The 20,633-nt window shown below is 43.7% G+C and overlaps 1 protein-coding gene and 1 non-coding gene across 2 annotated transcripts in view; both read right to left on the reverse strand.

Annotated features, from left to right (window-relative positions):
* Window positions 1–20,633, reverse strand: part of ZFHX3 (zinc finger homeobox 3) — a 1,109,046-nt gene that overhangs the window by 683,635 nt on the left and 404,778 nt on the right. The gene's annotated exons all lie outside the window — the stretch shown is intronic.
* Window positions 11,798–11,870, reverse strand: TRK-TTT1-1 (tRNA-Lys (anticodon TTT) 1-1). Its single transcript has one exon. It is a non-coding gene; the product is annotated as a tRNA-Lys (tRNA).

Consider the following 20,633-nt stretch of genomic DNA (forward strand, 5'->3'; position numbering starts at 1 on the left):
AGAAGACTTTTATTACCTAGGCAAGCTTGATTTAGTTACTTAATTTCTCTATGCCTCAGTTTTCTTATCCGGAAAAGGGAAAAAAAATAGCTGATCTGGAAGGGTGGGTGCGGGGATAAAATGATGGAGCATGCATGTGTGCACAGTACTTAGATGACTCCTGGCACATTCTCTGTTCTCAACCCATGGCAGTGTTCATCAAACTAACCCCAGTAGGCACCTATGTTGTTACTAGAAAGCTCAGGGACCTAATCCTGAGTAGATATCTCATTTCCTCTTCAGAGCTAGGAGATCTCATATTCTGAAATTTTTAGAATGTGGGAAGGAGGATGTTCAGGAGACTGGGGCTTTGATGAGGGCTGAGTTGCAACCACAGGGAACACTAAGAAAGATGACACAGAGCAAAGCATGAGCTTTGAGCAAAGAGGAGGCGAACTGATTTTTTTAGGGTAACAAAGGTTGAGCGTGACAGACCTGACATGTCTGGCCAGCTGCCCTAAGGATGGGACAAAGGGAGGAAGGCTATGCTGCAGAGCTTTGTAGAGGAAGAGCTACTTGAGGAGAAGGAATGGAGTTGTTATAAAGATTCTGGCTAAAGGGAACTGAGTGATCTTTGCATCTCAAGAAGTCATAAAAATGGGATGAATCAGGAGTCAGGAAAAGAGAGGGAGACCTATGGAGCTCACGGAAACGTAGAGAACAGCCTTGGAGCATCTTGAAGAGGAGAGAGAATGGAAGCAAGATAGCTCCAAAAGAATGTCTCTGTCTTACTTTGGTTGCCACTTCCATTAACTGCCCAATAACTTCAGGTGTTGGAATAGACAAGAGAAGCCCTACCTATGTGGACTCTAGGTCACAATTCTTGGCTCCACAGCTCCTGCTCTCCTTACTTGCAGGGAAATGGGGGTTGAACAGAAACAAAGAAGAAAGTGTAGAAATGAACAAGATGTAGGTAGCAGGGAAGTATTCAGGGGGTAGTGCACCGACAGGCACAATTTACCTTGAAATACAATAAAAATAAAAGCTGGATTGACAGGCAGAGGGACAAACAGATGGGCAGATTGTGATAAATCAAGTATATTCCATTGTTAACAATTGAACGTAGGTGGTGAGTGTATGGGTATTCACTGAAAAGTTTTATTTTGTTTTGTTTTAACTTCTCTATATGTATGAAAATGTTCATAATAGAAAATTGAAAAAAAGTTAGGAAACAGATTCAAGATCATCAACCCTCGTCCTCATTGGCCCTGAGACAAATTATCCCAAAAGAGCAGCTGGCAGAATGGTGAAGGAATAGATTTTTGTCTGCTCTTCCTGCTGACTTCCAGCTCCTCAGTGCTGTCTGTCTACCTTTCTGGGGCTGGGTAACCTGCTAAGAACAATGCTTGTAAGGATTTAAGCTATGAACCCAGCCTGTGGAATCTGTAATTTATCAGAGCTCTCCTAAAGGCTGATGCAAGTCTTTAATGCCCAATGAAATAGATCTTCAGAAGTGGAATTTTGGCCAGTGGAGAAGAAACTTTAGGTGGTGCATCAGTTGGGATTAGATTTGGTTACAAATGTCAGACAGTCCCAAACAACTGACTTAAACAAGATGGAAGCTCATTTCATGCTCACATCAACCAAGTCCAAATGGAAGTGGCCCAAAATGCTGTCCTCAAACATCTCAAGAACTCTGGTCCTTTCCTGCTCATCGCCCACACCTCTAAGGACAGTCCTCAGCCTCCTGGCCCAGGATGACTGTCCCCATCTTCCAGGCAGCAGGATGATGGAAGGAAGAAAGAAGGGGGCAACAGCATGCACAAGCCACCCCTTAAGGACGGTTCCTGGAAACTGACATACGGGCTTAGTCACATCTTCACACCCAGCTGCAAGGGAGGCTGGAATATGTAGTCCTTATTCTTTGCAATAATGTGCCTAGCAGGAAAAAAATTAGCTAGGCGTGGTGGCTCACACCTGTAGTCCCAGCACTTTGGGAGGCCCAGACAGGTGGATCACTTGAGGTCAAGAGTTTGAGACCAGCCTGGCCAACATGGCGAAACCCCATCCCTCCTAAAAATACAAAATATTAGCCAGGTGTGGTGGGACATGCCTGTAATCCCAGCTTCTTGGAAGGCTGAAGTATGAGAATCATTTGAGCCCTGGAGGCAGACATTGCAGTGAGCCGAGATTGCACCACTGCACAAAGAAAAAATTATACTACTATGAAAAAAGGGAGAAAAGATTTGGGAGGAGAAAAGATTTGGGAGGAGAAAAGATTTGAGTTTTTCTCAAAAGTCAGGAGAGTGTCTCCCTAGAATGCTCCAATCACAAATGCACAGTTTTCTACATTATCTTCATATAGGGTCAGCTCTGACTTTATCAACTGGCCTCTACCACAATGGTCTCCTTTCTGGATTGACTGCATAATGAGGAGGAGAAGGAAAGAAGAAGCTGTGTGATAAGTGCTTTAGAATTTAACAAGCAAAGTTGTAAGGTAGGTAGTAGCATCCTCATGATAGAGATAAGAACTGGAGGCTTCCAACAATTCAAAAGACTGGTAAGGTCCTTATCTGTAGAGGCCACTGTTAAAATGCAGGAGGATGCAGAGTGGGGCTCCCCAGTCTTTCCCACCACCCAGCCCCTCGACCTTGATAGATAATCTGAACCTTGGAAAGGACAGAGGCTGCTGGAGAGCCAAGAAATCCTAGACAAGGGATCTCACCTGGAGGGGAGAACAAGCAACAAAAGCTGGAATAGAGCAAGAGAACACTGGTCCAAGAGAACTTCAGGGAAGCAGCAAGCGAACATAGAGCCAAGAAGGGCCAGACAAGGTTCCTTGAAGAGCTGGGGGCTCTTGGAGGATGATGAACAGGGGTGCGGTGGGGAGAGGGGAACATTGTCAAAGGGAGGTGTGCAGGGCAGAACAGAGCACCTGTATATGTACTGCCATCTTGGATCTACTCTAAGGATTAGAATATGAGTTCTGCAGGTTCTCAAAGAATTCTATGTTAACCTGGTGTCACTGTCTTCTTGAGCAGAAGTTCTCAAAGCTGATGCCCATTGAAATCACCTGGGTCTTTTAAAAACATCCTGGTACCTAGTCCCAACCTCCAATATATATATATATTTTTTTTGAGACAGAATCTCACTCTGTCACCCAGGCTGGAGTGCAGTGGCGTGATCTCGACTCACTGCAACCTCTGCTGCCCAGGTTCAAGTGATTCTCCTGCCTCAGTCTCCCAAGTAGCTGGGATTACAGGCTCCTGACACCACTCCCAGCTAATTTTTGTATTTTTAGTAGAGATGGGGTTTCACCATCTTGGTCAGCCTGGTCTCGAACTCCTGACCTCGTGATGCACCCGCCTCAGCCTCCCAAAGTGCTGGGATTACAGGCATAAGCCACTGTGCCCAGCCTCAAGATTTTTATTTTATTGGTCTGGGGTGAAGCTTGGGCATTGGGATTTTTCAGAACTCCCAACATGATTCTAATGTGCGGAAAAGCTGGAGAATCACTGCTCCAGAATGATAGTCTTCCAACTCTAATGTGTATATTCATCACCTTGGGAGGGCACCGAAATGCAGATTCTTATTCATGAGGTCCAGGATGGGGCCTAAGACTCTGCATTTTAATAACTTCCCAGGGGATGACAATACCGCCCATCTTGGGAACACACTCTGAGTAGCGAGTTTGACGCTTTCATTTCTCCTGCTAATGTACACTTTTCCTATATTCACGGGGGCTTCAACGCATCATCTACTTATGCAAAGCTGTCTCGTCCTGTAATAAGCAAGCCCGTCCCGGACAGAAACCCAGGCCATGTCCTATAATAAGTAAGACCATCCCAGACAGAAATCCAGACAGTCCTGGTCTGTATCTGCCTTCACGTTTAGCGTGTTGTCTGCTAAACCGTTGATCTAGAGTGTCCCATGTTGAGCACAGCAGAAAGCACACCACTAGTGCTTAACACAGCTTTTATTAATATTAATAATTAATGCTTAGTGCTAATGAGTAACCAATTACCAATAGTAATAATGTCATCGAGAAAACAGTGATAGTCCTACAAGGCACAAACCTTTCTGCTTCGTCCCCCACACCCCAAATTATAGTTCTAAATGAGCTTCCAGAATCTTGTGACAGGTACAACCTCACACGCATTCATGTAATAAGACAGCTCTATGGAGTGAAATTCCACTTTCAACAGATACATTTTCAGCGTGGCACACAGGAAATTAAATGTGAAAGTATCATTAACATGGAAGTTGTGAGTTTAATTCCCTACACAGGGTGCTGAAAAACTGAGATTGTTTATCTATACCTCATCACGGCTACCTGTTTCCTGGGGGATCCAGTCAATTTCTTAGAATATAAACTCTCTTACCCCTTTTTTGGGTGAACATCTACTCTTCATTTCTATCCTCAAAGATCCATATTCTCAGAAGGCAAAGAAGTGAATGTGAGCATCTCACTAAGAAGAACAGGATTCTACAGTGTGGTTTGAGATTGCTAAGGATGGCATTCAGGGCTGATTCAGGACATGATTTTTTTTTCTTTAAATATTTCTCTTTAGAGGAAGTAATGTAGCACTTAATGTCTAATGACATCTATTCAGGAATTCATCAAAGAAAAGCTGATAACAAGATGCGTTATCATAGTCAACAATTAATGGTGCCGTGTAGGAATCTTGATTGCTCTTAGGATGTGTAACTGGTACAGCTTTTGCTCTTGGGCTGTTTTTACAAAAAGGCAAGTGGAGCACAGATGTACCTTTCCGAGGTGATCGACCATAGTGATTGACCATGCACCACTGCAAGTCATAGCTAAAGAGATTAGCCAAGGTAGGCTATTCATGCCCTACATTGGTTACATGTGGGCATGTAACCAATCTAGTTTGTGAATCTCTTTCTTTTTCTTTCTTTTTTTTTTTAGACAGAATTTCACTCTTGTCGCCCAGGCTGAAGTGCAATGGTGCAATCTTGGCTCACTGCAACCTCCACCTCCCAGGTTCAAGTGATTCTCCTGCCTCAGCCTCCCAAGTAGTTGGGATTACAGGCGTGAGCCACTGCACCTGGCCATGAATCTCTTTCTTTCTAAACATCATTCATCTTCAGTTTTACCCTTCACTGCACATCCAACTGACTTGGGTGAGAGGAGTAAAAGGAGGGCTCAGGGGACCCTTTAGGGGTCAGGATACCCTCAAGGACTAGGTCAAAAGGAATTACAGGAAAAGAATTTTATTGACAATCTCACTTGAGAAGAACTCACATAAAGGAGACTCAAGTATCTCTTTTCCTCTTGCTGGAAAAGGAGAAAATGAGGAAGCTGCTTGAATCTTTAGGGTTAGTCTTAGCCTGGAAAAAACCCTGCAGCATTCTGAGACATCTGAGAGGAGCTAGCATTTCAAACAGGAGCAAGCCCGCTGCATGGTGGTGATCCTCCTCCCCACTTTCTGATCCTGACAAGGTGATGCTCAATTGATCCAGTGCCCTGAGCACCTCAGAACCTCCTCTTCCTCCCCACGGACTCATTTCTGAGGCTGGTTCACTTCACCTGGAGAAGCCTATCATTCCTCCTAATAGTCTTTTGGTTTTGATTTAAAGATCTACTGAATGTTAGAACCAAAAGGGTCTTAAACCAACTTCTACCCCCAAGTTCCTTATTTTACAGATGAGAAAACACCCAGGGAGAATTATCAAAAGCCCCACAGCCGCCTGGAACATGAGCCCATGTTTTCAGACTCTCAGGTCAGGATTCTACTTTTTAAATCTTAAAAAAAAAAAAAAAAAAACAGCATATCTAAAGTCCCAAAGACATAGCTCTTGGATTCTCTTGCCCATGGTGGCACGATGTGAAGTCACACTTAGCTGGCTTGGTAAAACTAAGAAACTCAGTACTGGCAGGCTGTTGCCCATGCTGGATTTTGATGAAGCCACAAAGCTTCAAGTTCACTGCCAAAAAGCTCCACCACATTGGAAGAGAGAATTTTCTACTTCACCAGTGGGAAGTGGGAGAAATAGCCTCTTGAGTTTTGGATGGATCATGAGTGCCTGAGTCAGGAGGGTATTATTCTATTTACCACTCCAGACTCACCCTTCATTTTCCCTCCTTCTCCGTCCTACCGTCTGTGCCATGAGACTGGCCTCTCCAGACTGCATCACCTAGATTTGCTTGTCTTCAGCTGGGTTTGGCCAATGGGAAGGCCCAGAAGGAGGTCAGCGATCAGGGGATTGGTTAGTCCAGCTCCTTCCTGCCTCACCATGGTTTGGGCAGTAGCTGTGTCCCTTTCCCTGTGGTCACAGCTCCTGGCACACCACCTCTCTCCCTCAGCTGCAGGTCTCGCCCAGCCCAGAAGCATGGTTCCTTCTATTGCCACCTTGGTCCACTGAGGGATTTCATCATCTCTTGTCAATTCCCATTACCCTTTCACCTCCATAAATTGTCCCATTATTAAACTCTCTTTGTTAAACTAACACATTGAGTGTGCTGTCTTTTTTTTTTTTTTGCCAGGACCCTGACTAGTACAGGGGCCCCTGGATGAAGATGTATCAGGTATAAGATGGGCTGGGCACAGTGGCTCATGCCTCTATTCCCACCACTTTGGGAGGCTGAGGTAGGAGGATCACTTGGGCTTAGGATCTCAAGACCAGCCTGGGCAACATAGCAAGACCCTATCTCTACAAAAAATACAAAAATTAGGCGTGATGGTGTGTGTCTGTGGTTCCAGCTACTCAGGATGCTGAGGTGGGAGGGTCACTTGAGCCCAGGAGGCTGAGGCTGCAGTGAGCTATGATTGTGTCATGGCACTCCAGCCCTGGAGACAGAGCGAGACTGTCTCAAAGCAAAAAAAAAAAAAAAAAACAAAAAAAAAAAAAACAAAATAATAAGCTATGTGAGCTGACTTGTGTATGGAATCATTCCATTTGAATGGGAGGGGAGGCGAAAATAAGGTAGGAGACATATGAGAAAACCAACAGCAGTTGGCAAAATCTGCCCAACGCTTGAGAGTCCTGGCCTATGTTTGATCGACTCATTCGAATTATATGAGACCAGAGTAGAATCACAGGGCTCCACTTCGGTGCCACCCACTGACTTATTCCGTGGAATTGGGTGGGTTCCTGCTTCCACCTCTCTGAAGCAGCTGTATGATTCTGTTCCCTTGCACACCTGCTGAAAAGAACATGTTGCTACCTGCAATATCCAAACTCTACCATCTCATGGTAAGCTGTCTTAAATGCTAAAACAAACACAAATTGAACTGGTTTTCCCATCTGTTTCTTTAACAAATGGGAGCTTAAGCCCATAGGGAAACTGTGTGGGTCAGGGAAGCATCAAATGAACACTTCTGAATAAAAACAAATGTTTCTGAAGATCGCAAGATATTTTAAACAGAGCACTCCGTTGGCCAGGCCTGCTCCCTTCTGATGCCTGCACAAGATCCCGATGACAGCATTATTTGCTTGAATTGGATTTGTTTCTGTGCCCAGAAACAACACACAAGGAACCTGAGATAGGAAATGGCTACTGGGTCCTAAAAGTCTTCCCAGGACACTGTCTGAGACCAGACAGGAATGAAACAAGAGTTGGAAACCACACCAAAGGAAATTCTTTGGGGTCTGGATTCTCGCTCTTTTTTATTTATTTATTTATTTATTTATTGAGACAGAGTCTCGCTCTCTCTCACTCTGTCACCCAGGCTGGAGTGCAGTGGCATGATCTCAGCTCACTGCAACCTCCACCTCCCAGGCTCAAGTGATTCTCATGCCTCAGCCTCCCGAGTAGCAGGGATCACAGGTGTGTGCCACCACGCCCAGCTAATTTTTGCATTTCTAGTAGAGATGGAGGTTTCACCATATTGGCCAGGCCGGTCTCGAACTCCTGACCTCAGGTGATCCACCCACCTTGGCCTCCCAAAGTGCTGGGATTACAGGCATGAGCCACCGCACCCAGCCTCTTCTTTTACTATTAAAAAATATCAAAAGCAGAGAGCATTTGCTTGCATTTTTATATAAAACTCCAACAGGTGAACTAGCATTCCCAGAGGAGGAGGAGGAAGCAGTGGTGGGGGTGGCAGTGGAGGCAGCAGCTTGACTCAAGCGGAGAACCTGGCATCAGCCCCCTGAGTTTTCTTTAGTCCCCTCTTACAAGCAGATGCTCCTCTGGGTCCCCTCCAGGTCTCCATCCCAGCTGGCAGCTTCCTTGCCCTGCTCTGGAACTAGACTATACACACCCTGACTTTAGTCTCATTCCATTTTGCACATCACCAGTGCCTAAGAAAGTGCTTGGCACATAGTAAATGCTCAACAAATGCTTCGTGGTTGGTTATGTCGATTAACCTATGAATGATGGAGCCAGCGGGTAAGAGATGAGTGGGTAAAGGAAAGAATCAACCATTGACAGTACTGTCTCTCTAGTTGATACATTATTTCTTTCCAAATGGGGCTGGGAGGAGTGGGTGGGTAATTGCCACCAGAGGGACCCTGTATGATGAGGTCACTGGGCCATTTTCAGGGATTCACTACTGTCTCTTGGGATTCCTCATCCTGTCTCCCTCCCTCTGTCTTCCTGCCTTCCCTCTGCTCTCTGACTCTTCGATCCATTTCTTAATTCTTTTTGCTGAGTAGTTCTTCAGTTTTTATTTCTGTTATAGGGAGGCCACTCTCACATTTTTGAGAATAAAAGATAGCGCTGGGAATAATCAAAATTACGTAATTTAAAATATTAGCGTATTCACCAATACACTGACTTTACGATATTCGTGGACTTACAAAATAATTTTATTTAAAACCTAGTTTCAAAAATAAAATTCCTTCTACCAAATAAATGTAACATATATCTGTTTCCATGAAAGCAAAATGAAAATAATTTATCTTATTGAATCTCTTATTTGAATGCTAAACAATACCGTTAGCAGAACAATACTGTTTAGCATGTATTTTATTTTTTTGTCATATCTATTTCTAATATTATTATATCATGGTATTTGCCTAAAGGATGTATATTTTAAACATTATTTTTTAATCTTTTTTTCATAAAGTTGCATATCATATACTCTTCCTCAAAGTTGCACTTTAATGCTTTTTGAAGTATTACATATAAAAAGTACTAAAGTTGCATTTTGTTGTTAATAAATTTGAAACTGTTAACTTCCTCAATTGAATGTTACTGAAGATTATAATAACATTTCTAATTGAGAAAATACTTTCTCCAAAGTTACTGAGATGTCTTATAAATTCAGAGCAAACTCTGCTAGAGTATATTCCAATTTTCTATTTTTTCAGATTAAAATATATAAATACTTTAGCCCAAATATTTTCTCATATACTGTCTTTTTACCTCCCAAGCACTTTGGCAGGTATTTTTAAAGGGAAAAACTCTTTAGATAAGTTGTCTCAACTTATGATTCCAAATCATAGGTCTTTCCATTTCATTCCATTGAATAAAAATATAAATGTATCCAAATAAAAACAGAAATATCAAAAGATTCTTCCCAGAGGTTAAGGTATTCCAAAAAGAAATCGTAATTTTGAACAGGAAATCTTGCATAATTTTTGAACTCTCAACTTTTAATTTGTTCGGTTCTTTTCTTTCTGTTATAGGGATAACGTTCATTGTTTTCCTGTTTGCAAGCTTCATTTTCAACAGTTGCAACTAGCTAAATATTTTAACATAAAGTTTTTTTGAGCACTCTATTCTTTTGAGATTTTGATTAAATATATCCAACTGGTGTTGAATAAAAGCTAAATATTTTAACGTAAAGTTTTTTTGAGCACTCTATTCTTTCGAGATTTTGATTAAATATATCCAACTGGTGTTGAATAAAATATAACCACAATTTACAGATTTATTTATAAAAGAAGTTCAAAACCACTGCAGAACGTGTAGGTTGATTTACAAAGAAACTCTTCAAAGGTGCAAACTCTTGAAAAACTCCATTGATGGCAAGCAGCAAAAAGATAAAAAGTCCACACTGCCACACTAAAGTATTTTTTAATATTCAACATCAACTTCATCACAAGAATATTGTGGCTTGATTGCTCTAATGGAGTATACACAAATATTTGTAAATTTAAACCACTACAATTTTTAATTGATTTAACATTGCAGCAAGTGGGAGGAAGCTGTGAATTATATGAACACCAAAACAAATTCCAAACCTATTTCTGTCTCATAAGTTTCTTAATTTTATATTGACATTGCTTTTTACCATGAATTTGTGCTTCACCAAAGTTTGGGTGGGTGTTATCACCACAAAATTTAGTAACTTCATTTTCAATGTTAAACTAACAAGTTCATTAAAAAATGGAGTATTACTAGTATTAACAATAAGTCAGATGTTTCACCTTCTTTAGAATGAACTTTCAGAAATTTTAATAATTTGATTTCCTGAAGTGGAAGTGAAAATTTGAACCAATTATTAAAACTTATGCATTTTCTTTGTGAAGTCTCCAATAGCACTGATAAAACAGATAGCCTTTAAACTGTTTGCAATTTTTCTTCTGTCTCAAATGCCAATACATTAAGTGTAGGCACTACATGTTTTGCACCTGCATAACAAAAACTTGGAAGAAAAAAATTTTAGAAATTTAGCAAAGAAACAGTCATTTGATAACAATGAAAAATCATGCTTTGTAGAAGAATCTGTAAGCCCACCTGCTACAGATTCACATGTGAATTCATCTATAGGAAAGTCTTCTTAAAATAACTACCGATTTTTAAAATTAAATGCTGATATTCTGTTAGCAAATCTTGTTTTCTGTGTGGTCATCTGCCACAATAAATGGTAAATATTGATAAACATTTTTGTGCAAGTTACATGTACATTGGCTTTCGTGAGTAAGGAAATTCAGTACCTAATTTTTCATTAAACATGTACATGTGGTTTTTGGAGCTGATGGCTGCCAAAAGGGATTACTTCAAAATAAAAATGTTACCAAATAATAAAATCAATAGTTGCAAATGTCAATTATATAATAAATGCAAAACTGGTATTGTAAGAGCATTCAGACTATTCTATGTTCTATGGTGGGGCTGCTCAGCCTCTGTGTCCTGCATGGACCAATATTTTCCTGCACACCTACCCTCTGGTTTCCACAGTTCCCGCGGACCCTGCCAACAGGCATCATGGTGGCAGGCTGCACACCACGGGCCCCAGCACTCTGCACTGGTAGCCGGTAGGGCAGCAGCAGTCACTTCTCACCTGGAGAACCTGGCTGATCTCACGTGCTTATATCTGGGTACACTTCACATCCCTTGAGAATGGGGTGTCAGTTACCTTGTGTCTGGAACAGAGTAACAAAAGGGCTTGGGTATCACTGGTCGTCTTTCAAACCTGACCACAAGTTCAAAGGAGAACTCTGAACTAGCATCTCACACACAGCTATATAAGATCTTGGCAGGAGCTGGTGGAACAAAAAGCAGCTCTCTCTACCTACCCCTCCTGGCTTATTTTGTTGTTGTTTTTGTTGTCTTCTTTTTTAAAAATTGAGTCAGAGGCTGGGCGCAGTGACTCATGCCTGTAATCCCAGCACTTTGGGAGGCCGAGGCGGGCGGATCACGAGGTCAAGAGATCGAGAACATCCTGGCCAACATGGTGAAACCCCGTCTCTACTAAAAATACAAAACCTAGCTGGGCGTGGTGGTCCTGCAGTCCCAGCTACTCGGGAGGCTGAGGCAGGAGAATGGCTTGAATCCAGGAGGCGGAGGTGGCAGTGAGCCGAGATTGCGCCACTGCACTCCAGCCTGGTGACAGAGCGAGACTCCATCTCAAAAAAAAAAAAAAAAAAAAAGTCAGAATTAGGTACTAAAAGCCATATGACATGCCTGAACAGGGACTTGAACCCTGGACCCTCAGATTAAAAGTCTGATGCTCTACCAACTGAGCTATCCAGGCTTCTTCCCTGCTAGTTTATTTTAATGCAGTAATAAATAACAGCACTTTGTTAAAAATAATAAAGGTATAATCTGTGACACATCCAAAGTGGACAAGATGAAGAGATAATAGGTATACACCAGGATTCCCCTGGGCAAACTGGGACCTCTTGGTACCCTATATATTAAGAGTCTCGGGTTTTGTTTTCACTTAAGCAAATGTCCAAACTTTCTTATCCTTTTCTCTTCAAAGTGTTTTCCTATGTGCCCATCCCTTAGGACTTCTAGCTCTTGTATAAACAGATAATTGAGGTGCAAATATCTGATAGGGTGTCGTACAGGATGATTGCAAATCCCATCTGATTAAGGTCACAGACCACTCCCCAGATAAAACCCAGACTCAAGCTGGGCGCGGTGGCTCCAGCCTGTAATCCCAGCACTTTGGGAGGCCCAGGCAGGAGGATCACAAGGTCAGGAGTTCGAGACCAGCCTGGCCAGCATGGTGAAACCCTGTCTCAACTAAAAATACAAAAAATTAGCCAGGCATGGTGGTGCGCGCCTGTAATCCCAGCTACTCAGGAGGCTGAGGCCGGGGAATTGCTTGAACCCGGGAGGCAGATGTTGCAGTGAGCCGAGATCATGCCACTGCACTCCAGCCTGGGCAAGAGAGCAAGACTCCATCTCAAAAACAAAACAAAACAAAACCAGACTCACCCCTCCCTTGTTGTAAAAGACTGTGCTAGAGCCTGCAGAGTGGTTCTGCCCTATCCACCCTCCCTTCCTTACCAATGACATGAGCTTGAAGATGGAAGCCACCTGTTCAAGAGAGATGTTCAGAAAAATAAGTGTTGCTAATGACTGGGGAGCTGCCATATTTATTCATTACCAACCTCCAGACCCAGCAGCTGATTGCAATTCTTGACCTAAACAATTACACATTGCTGAAGTTCTTGCTTCCCATTCCAGGCTCTTCTGCCTCCACTCTGTCCTTGCACCCCAAACCCCTGCCATACAAGTCACGAAACTCATTCCACTCATCCTTCATCCATGCTATTACCTTGGCTGGAGATACCTTTCTCAGCCTTGACATCCAGCTACTTCTGCCCTTCTGCCAGAAACAAACGTAGTCATCACCTCCTCCTGGAAGCCTCTCTGGGCTGCACTCCTGAGACATCCCAGGCATGCTCCTGCACTCTGTTATATGATCACCTGTTAACACGCCTGCCTCCTTCAACCTGTGATCAGCTTGAGGGAGGGCACTGTGTGTTCTTTCTTCCTCAGTCTGTCATCCTGTGTCACCATGCCTCCTATATGGTGACATAGCAGGCATATGTAATGGGAAATGATTGAATGAATGTTGAAACTCACCAAATAGGGGAGGGTCCTGGAAAGCCTCTGGGAGGAGGATACCTGATTGGCCTGTAAAGGTAGGGGTCACAATGTGGCAGTTACACATTCTCCATCAATAGGATCAGGTCCATTATCCTATTAAACCTCCTTGGGGACCTTGAGGGTGAGAGGACATGCCTATTAGTAACCCCCGTTTATGGCTGGGCAAATGGAGGCATGGGGAGGTTAAAAGCTCCGGGTCAACCCAGGAGTTGGTGATGAACCTGCTGTGATTGGCAGTCGTGGGGACCTGATGCCGGTTTTGTTCTCTGAACCTCACTACTTTCAAGGACTCCTCAGTTCATTCTCTCAATCTCTTTCTTTTTGTTTTCTTTTTTCCTCCAGTAATATCCAAAAAGTCCCTTCTCCAGATTAAATCGTCCTGGCTTCAGATATCTAAAGCAGCTATTTTTTTTTTTTCCTTCAGCATTTGAAATGTTTTTAAGGGTTTATTTCAAACACCCTTTTCTTTGAACTGATTGTTCAGAACTTTCATTCCACTTTGTCAGTGTGTTTGGTAGTAGGCTCCGATTCCTAAAAGGTTTTTATTTCTTCTCTATTAGCGGCCACCACCTGCTTACTGTTTGGATGGGTTTTGCTTTATTTTCTTTGCTTTCATCTATTGAAATGGATGAGAGGAACCTTAGGTAATGAACCTTGTTTCCAGTTTTCCCCCTCACCTCCCCTATTTTTAACTCCTCCTGCCACTGCTAAGGATGAGGCAAAGGACGAAAAGTTCCTGGGTGGTAAGTCTCTGGGAGTCACTCTGCTTTTCTCCCCAGGTGTGGGGATGGAGTGGCAGGCAGCAGAGGGCAGAATGTGCCTGGAATGTTTGCAGTGCTGTTGGCTTTGCAATTGCCTGGCCATCCTGTTTCCCCACAGCAGGATGCATGGTGGCCTTCTAAACGGCCACTCTGGCTGGAGTGAAGAGGTGTCTTTCTCCAATCTTACAGGGACCCCTAAGCTTCATGGGGAGATGTGAGTGTCAGTAGCTGTTGCTGAGGCCCACATTGCCAGACACTAGCTTGTTCCATTTTTGGTTTATCTACACACATTGGCCCTTATGGGAGCAGCCTCACATATAAATATATAAATATTTTACCAGTTCATCCTGCCCTCAGGGTATCAAGTTTAATGAACTAAATAGCCTCCATTAATCACCCAACAGAATGTTATTTACTTCAAGGGAAAGGGTAAGTGGCCTCTGCAAAGACACGTCAAGGACTCGGTCTCGGCAACTCTTCTCTGTGCTAGGTCTTCCCAAATCTTTAAGAACAAAGTCCTAAATCCCGGGCTGGGTGTGGTGGCTCACACCTGTAATCCCAGAACTTTGAGGGGCTGAGGCAGGTAGATCACTTGAGGTCAGGTTTGAGACCAGCCCGGCCAACATGGAGAAACCCTGACTCTATTAAAAATACAAAAATTAGCTAGGCATGGTGGTACCCACCTGTAATCCCAGCTACTTGGAAGGCTGAGACAGGAGAATCACTTGAATCCAGGAGGTGGAGGCTGCAGTGAGCTGAGATCGCATCACTGCACTCCAGCCTGGGCAACAGAGTGAGACTCCATCTCAAAAAAAAAAAAAGAACAAAGTCCTAAATCCAGAAGTTCTGCCAGCCAAGTTGACACATTGCTTTCCTGTCCTCTCTTCTCCCCTTACCAAATTTTAGTATTACTTTTTAATTAATTAAATAATTAAAGAGGGTCTCACTCTATTGCTCAGGTGGAGTGCAGTGCTATGATCACGGCTTACTGCAGCCTCAAACTCTTGGTCTCAGGTGATCCCCCCTACCCCAACCTCCAGAGTAGCTGGGACCACAGGTGCATGCCAGCCATGCCTGGTTAATGTGCGTGGTGTTGTTTTTTTGTTGTTGTTTGTTTGTTTGTTTGTTTTTGTTTGTTTGTTTGTTTGTTTTTGTAGAGATAGGGTCTCACTATGTTGCCCGAGCTGGTCTCAAACTCTTGGCCTCAAGTGATCCTCCCACCTCTGCCTCTCAAAGTCCTGGGATTACAGGCATGAGTCAATGTGCCCAGCTTGCCTACCACATTTTAGATGTCAGTTTCTTCACCCTTTTGTTTAAAATACGGCATACTCTCCCATATCTGCCCAGCCCAGAAATGCACGGTCATGGGTTATGTCAGCCCAGGGAGGGTGAGAAAGGTCTTGAGCCCTGTTGTCATGATGACCCCATAGCCAATAAATCAAGTCCAGTGTAAGTAACATTTGAGCAACTGGAGAAAATGGAACTGAAGTGGGTACATATCAGAGGCCCTTTGACATCTCTGAATATCCTTTGTAAATAATATCTATTGCCCAGCTTAGAGCTGTGAGAGCCACTCAGCGCAAGTGTATACGAGTGGAAAAATGAAGGAAAGGGAAGGGCAGAGGGAAGGGAGTGGAGATTGGTGCTGAGACACAGGGGGTGGCCTTGGGAGCTGATACAGCAGTGCCTGTGTTAAGCTAGGCTGTCCATCCTTTGGCACCCCAGTCCCTACTCCTGCAGCCACAGATGAAAGGCAAATTTTGCAAGCCAACATCTACCTTGCCCCTTCCTAGGAACAGTGAGGTCCTATCCATTCTGATCCCACTGAAATCTAAGAGAATTGGTGGAGATCTGCTATCCCAGCCCAGAAAATGGCATCACGTGTGAGGATCGGCCCTTCACATCCCTTCTTTTGCAGGGCTGACCACCGCCTCACCCACTCCCTGCTAGAGGGGTCCGGCCCCTCCCTGCACACATCCAGACTCTCCAAAGCATCTTGCATTTGGCCAGAGGTCTCGGGAAGCCTCTCCAGGCTGTGTAGGGCTTTAGCCCAACACTAATTAGTAATGCAATCCCGCAAAGAGTGAAGCTGCCTGCCACCTCCCCTCACTCATAGTGATTTATGTTCAATTTGTACAAATGGAGAAAATGAGATTTCAAATTTCAATGCCATTTCTGCAATGAGGTGATTAAAAGAGAGAGAGGTATCGCCTTCCACTGTATAGAATATTGATCCCAGTGCTATTTTCCTTTGCAATAACCATTAGCTCAGTATTATTTGCAAACCTCTAATGTGAACCTGGAGATGTAATTTACATTTGTGCCTCACTTATTCGCTTTAACAAAACAACACAAAAGCTTTGGATCTTTCAATCTATCCATATTGTCAATAAAATTAGCAGCTTGAAGGGAAAAAATTATATTCAAAACCATAACTTCCCATTAACTACCGCAAGACACAACACATCGTTGCAAAAGAGAGAGAGCTTCGTAGCTAAATCCTTTCTTGTTCTTTCTTTTCCTCCGCTCCCTCTTCCCCCTCCATGGGGTTAGAATTCAATGAACAAACTTGAAAGTGAAACATCCCCTCCTCTGAATGTGGATCAGCTTAGGGTCTGGGGGCTGGCTGTGCACATCTGAGGCCCGATCCCTCCGAGGGTGACCCCGGAGGAAGAGAACGCGTGGGCCCCTGCTCCAAGTGCCAGCGCACGCCTGGCCCAGAGGTCCATCGGGCTGCCAGGACAAATGCGTACGCATAGACACGTGCACGGAGCCTCCGAGAGAGAGCGAGAGACCAAGAGCGAGCGAGTGAGAGACAGAGAGAGAGAGAAAGAGAGAGAGAGAGAGAGTTCCTCAAGAGAGCCGGGAGCCAGGGTAGGGACCAAAAGGGCTGGAAGAAAAGATGAGAAGGAGGTAATCAAGAAATAAAAGCATGGGGGCTGTGCTCTGCCAATTCAAATGGCAGTTCCGTCAGCCTCGACGCTGAACAAATAGGCCACGTAGCTCCGCGTTCTCATTTCTTGTCTCTGCAAATCCGTCAGCTGCCTACAAGGGCCTACCAGACCCTGGAAGACGAGAACAAGAAAAAGGGAGAGTGGGGGGCGGGGGAGCTAATGACCCATAATTGCCATGATAGTGGGAGAGGGGCCAAGCAGCTGTTTTACATTCCTGGTATGTATAGTATGCAAATATCGACAAAGGCTCGACACAGTTTCGCTATTGTGGATCCGGAGGGTAACCAAATTAGCCTTTGGCAGCCATGGTAATTGGGAGGTGCTGTTCCCATTAGGAGTCCTGCAAATTATGAAGAAAAATGGACCGAGGGCTTTGTCACAAATAATAATACCAAGAAGAAAAGCGCAGGCGGCTGTCTTTTCTTTTCTTCCCCTGTTCCCCACCCTCTGCCTTTGTTTTTTTTTTTTTTTTTTTTAATTTCTGCATTGTGTTGTTAATACCTCTCCATTTAGTAATAAGAAAACAGTCTGAAATCCCCCACTAGACAGTGCACGGACTTGATTGCAAGAATGTCAAGTTTGCAGGAGGGTCCGGGGGGAAGAGCTGCTTTCTGTTGCCCGAGCCCAGGGGCTGCAGGTAGGAAAGGCGCAGTTGTGCAGCAGTAAAGACTTCCCGCCCAGAGTCCTAGGTGAAGAGAGAAGCCTAAAAACTGACGTCTCAAAGAAAACGCTCTTTCCACGAAGCATCTTCTCCGTATTGTAAGGGTGCAGAGAACATCTCTTCCTGGAGCATAGCTGGGCTTTATCCTCCACCTCACTCCCAAAGAGTCTAAAGTTCTGGCTTGATTGAGGCTCTAATCTCTTAACAATTCAGACATGGGCTTGAAAAACCTCCAGTCATGATGCATTAAGCCCCGAACTCATGCCGAAAAGGTTTGCAGACTTTCGCCCTTGGCATTCCCTTGAGATGGCCTAATTCCATGTCCCTGGGAGCTGGGTGCCTGGTGACCAGATGGGCCACCGGCATATCAGATGACGCTATGATGAGCTCAGCCCTTTGTGGGGCATGAGTAAATGAGGCAGAATGGTCCGTTCGGGGCCAAGTTTGCCCCAGAGGAGAGACACAGTATCACCACGGTAGCAGGGAACTGTGATGCCTACAGTGCATACCCATGTGAGGAGTAAAGGACCAATACTTCCCAAAGCATTCTCTCCTTTAAAACAATCAACTTCCATTTTCCTATGTTTTAGCATCTGTTGGTTTGGCCAGAGGAACACCTTCGATGAGAAGGGGCTCTCTGGAAATACGATGTCTTTCATCTATGTTCCTCCAGTTACATAGGAACATCTCATGCATGGTTCGCATTTTATTTTTACATTGTATTTCATACAAATGTACAATGTTAAAACACAGAAAGGAATATAAATCTACTTGGATAACTGAAAGGATACTACCACATACTCGCCTTTAGAACCAGACAGAATTTCCCATAAGGAAAAAAAAAAATGGAATTTTCATAAGGTTTGAAGTGTCCTCAGAGACACGACTATAAAAGGATACTGCCAATTTTGTCCTCCAAAGGGTAAAGAAAGAAGTAATGGCTAGTTGCATGCATTTGGGAAATTAACAAAAATAGGAGGAGGACTGAAAATAGATCAGGTCATAGCAAAGTCAAATAGAGGGTTGAAAAATGAGTAAGAGGAAACGGCAACTTGCTTGCACAATGTCAGTGCAGGTGGGACCAATGGGTGACTTCAGGAATGGAGTGAGGAGGAAAATAGCCAACCATGATACTGGTTTCTTTCCTTTGTGTAATGTCCAAATCCCATTTCAGTAGACAAGGGAATACTGGCCCCCATTCCTTGCTAGTTTTAAATGAAGAACATTCAGCTGTTTAGATACAGTCCAGGTTTCAAGTCTGTTTCAAGGTAAATTTGAGGGTGAGGGAGAAAAAAAAAAAAAAAAAAAAAAACTTTCTAGCATTTACAATAATTTTTCTTAAGAAAAAAATATTCTTTGATGAAAATACTCTACCATTTGGGGACTGTGTTTAGGTTTTTGTTCTAGGTCCACCCCTTGACATGCTGATAAGGGCTGCAGTGTCCAGTACCCTGCTCGACCTTTCTCTCTTCCCTTCTCAGAGTTCCAGCCACACTAAGTGTCTTTCTGTGTGTGTTGAACCCAGTATGCTTTTTCTCATCTCTTATTTTCACACAAGCTACTCCCTCTGCCCGCTGGATGTCCCTGTGTACTGCCCTACCATGTGACACAGGTCTGCACACATCCCTTGGGCTGGCTCATCCTCATCCTCTTCCTCAGGTCACTGCTTAGATACTACTTCCCCCACACAGCCTTCCAGCCTTGTCTGACTTTCTTAGTCTGGGTGAAAACTCCTCCTACCATCTGCTCTCAAGTGCCTAGTGCCGGAACTTATGACAGAATTTTCTGTCTAATCACTTTTCCAAGGCTGTGAGCAACAGGAGAGCAGGGACCACCTCTCTTGTTCATCAATGTGTCCCAAGTTCCTAGCCCAGTGTCTGGCACATAGCAGTTGAGCCATAAACATATGTTGAGTGAATGTCATCTGATTATTCAGAAGCTTAATTGAGGGCCTAAAGTATTGAGGCAGCAGAATGGGTCTGAAGGCGGGGAACATAAGGCTGATTCATGCTGACTTCCTAGAACTAAATCAAATGGATTCGATTCAGCTATGACAGGAAATATCCTCTCCATTTACACAGGGCATACACGGAGTAAATGACTTTGTAACTTTACTTCATCCTCTTCATTTACATAGGACATACACCAAGTAACCAGTGGAAACCTCTAGAGGGTATTGAAACACCAGAAAATTCTGTAATGGGGCTCTTGAGCCCCTGTGCTCAGGCCTGCTCCCACCCTGTGGAGTGTACTTTCCTTTTCAATAAATCTTTGCTTTGTTGCTTCATTCTTTCCTTGCTTTGTTTGTGTGTGTTTGTTCAATTCTTTGTCAAGATGTCAAGAACCTGGACACCCTCCACCAGTAACAGTATCACTTGATAACAGGTCTCTAACACTTGGCTTTTGCATTGAGGAATTCTGCCTTCGAGGAATACCTATCAATTCCAGAATCCCAGAGGGTCCCCCACATAAAGATAGACCTGCATTTATTCCAAACACCAAAATTAACTGGATAGTGCTGGGATTAGAGGTGTGATGCAGTTTTTATTCTAGCCCAGGACTTTCCTGGTTTCCTGCTAAATCTAGGGTCTCTCTTGCTCATTTTTTTTTCTCTTCAGGAATGAAGTTTGCTTTTATCTGCAAATGTTGCTAAGAAAGAATCCATCGTTCAATGTACCGTGGTCCACTCTGCACTTTAGGGTCTCAGGCTTTACCCAGAACCTGGAGCAAGACCACTTCAACTCTTGCAAGAAATTCACAGGTAACACTAAGGCAAATTCTTTCCACTGTAAGGCCAAGGCAATTTGGGTTACTGGGTATTTATATCTTAGGTATATATGTGTTATGGCATAAAACCTGCTTGGAAAAATAAGACTTATAAATGGACAGCAATAACAGAACTAAAACGATGGAAAATGGTATGAGAGATTGGAGTTGGGTAGAAGAATAGTGTTCCTTATGCTGAAATAGCTTGCTATTTAGAAAAAGTGAGGGTTTTTGACCTGGAGGAAATGGCA

Source organism: Homo sapiens, chromosome 16 (genome assembly GCF_000001405.40).
Source record: "Homo sapiens chromosome 16, GRCh38.p14 Primary Assembly".
In the NCBI taxonomy this organism is placed as follows: Eukaryota; Metazoa; Chordata; class Mammalia; order Primates; family Hominidae; genus Homo; species Homo sapiens.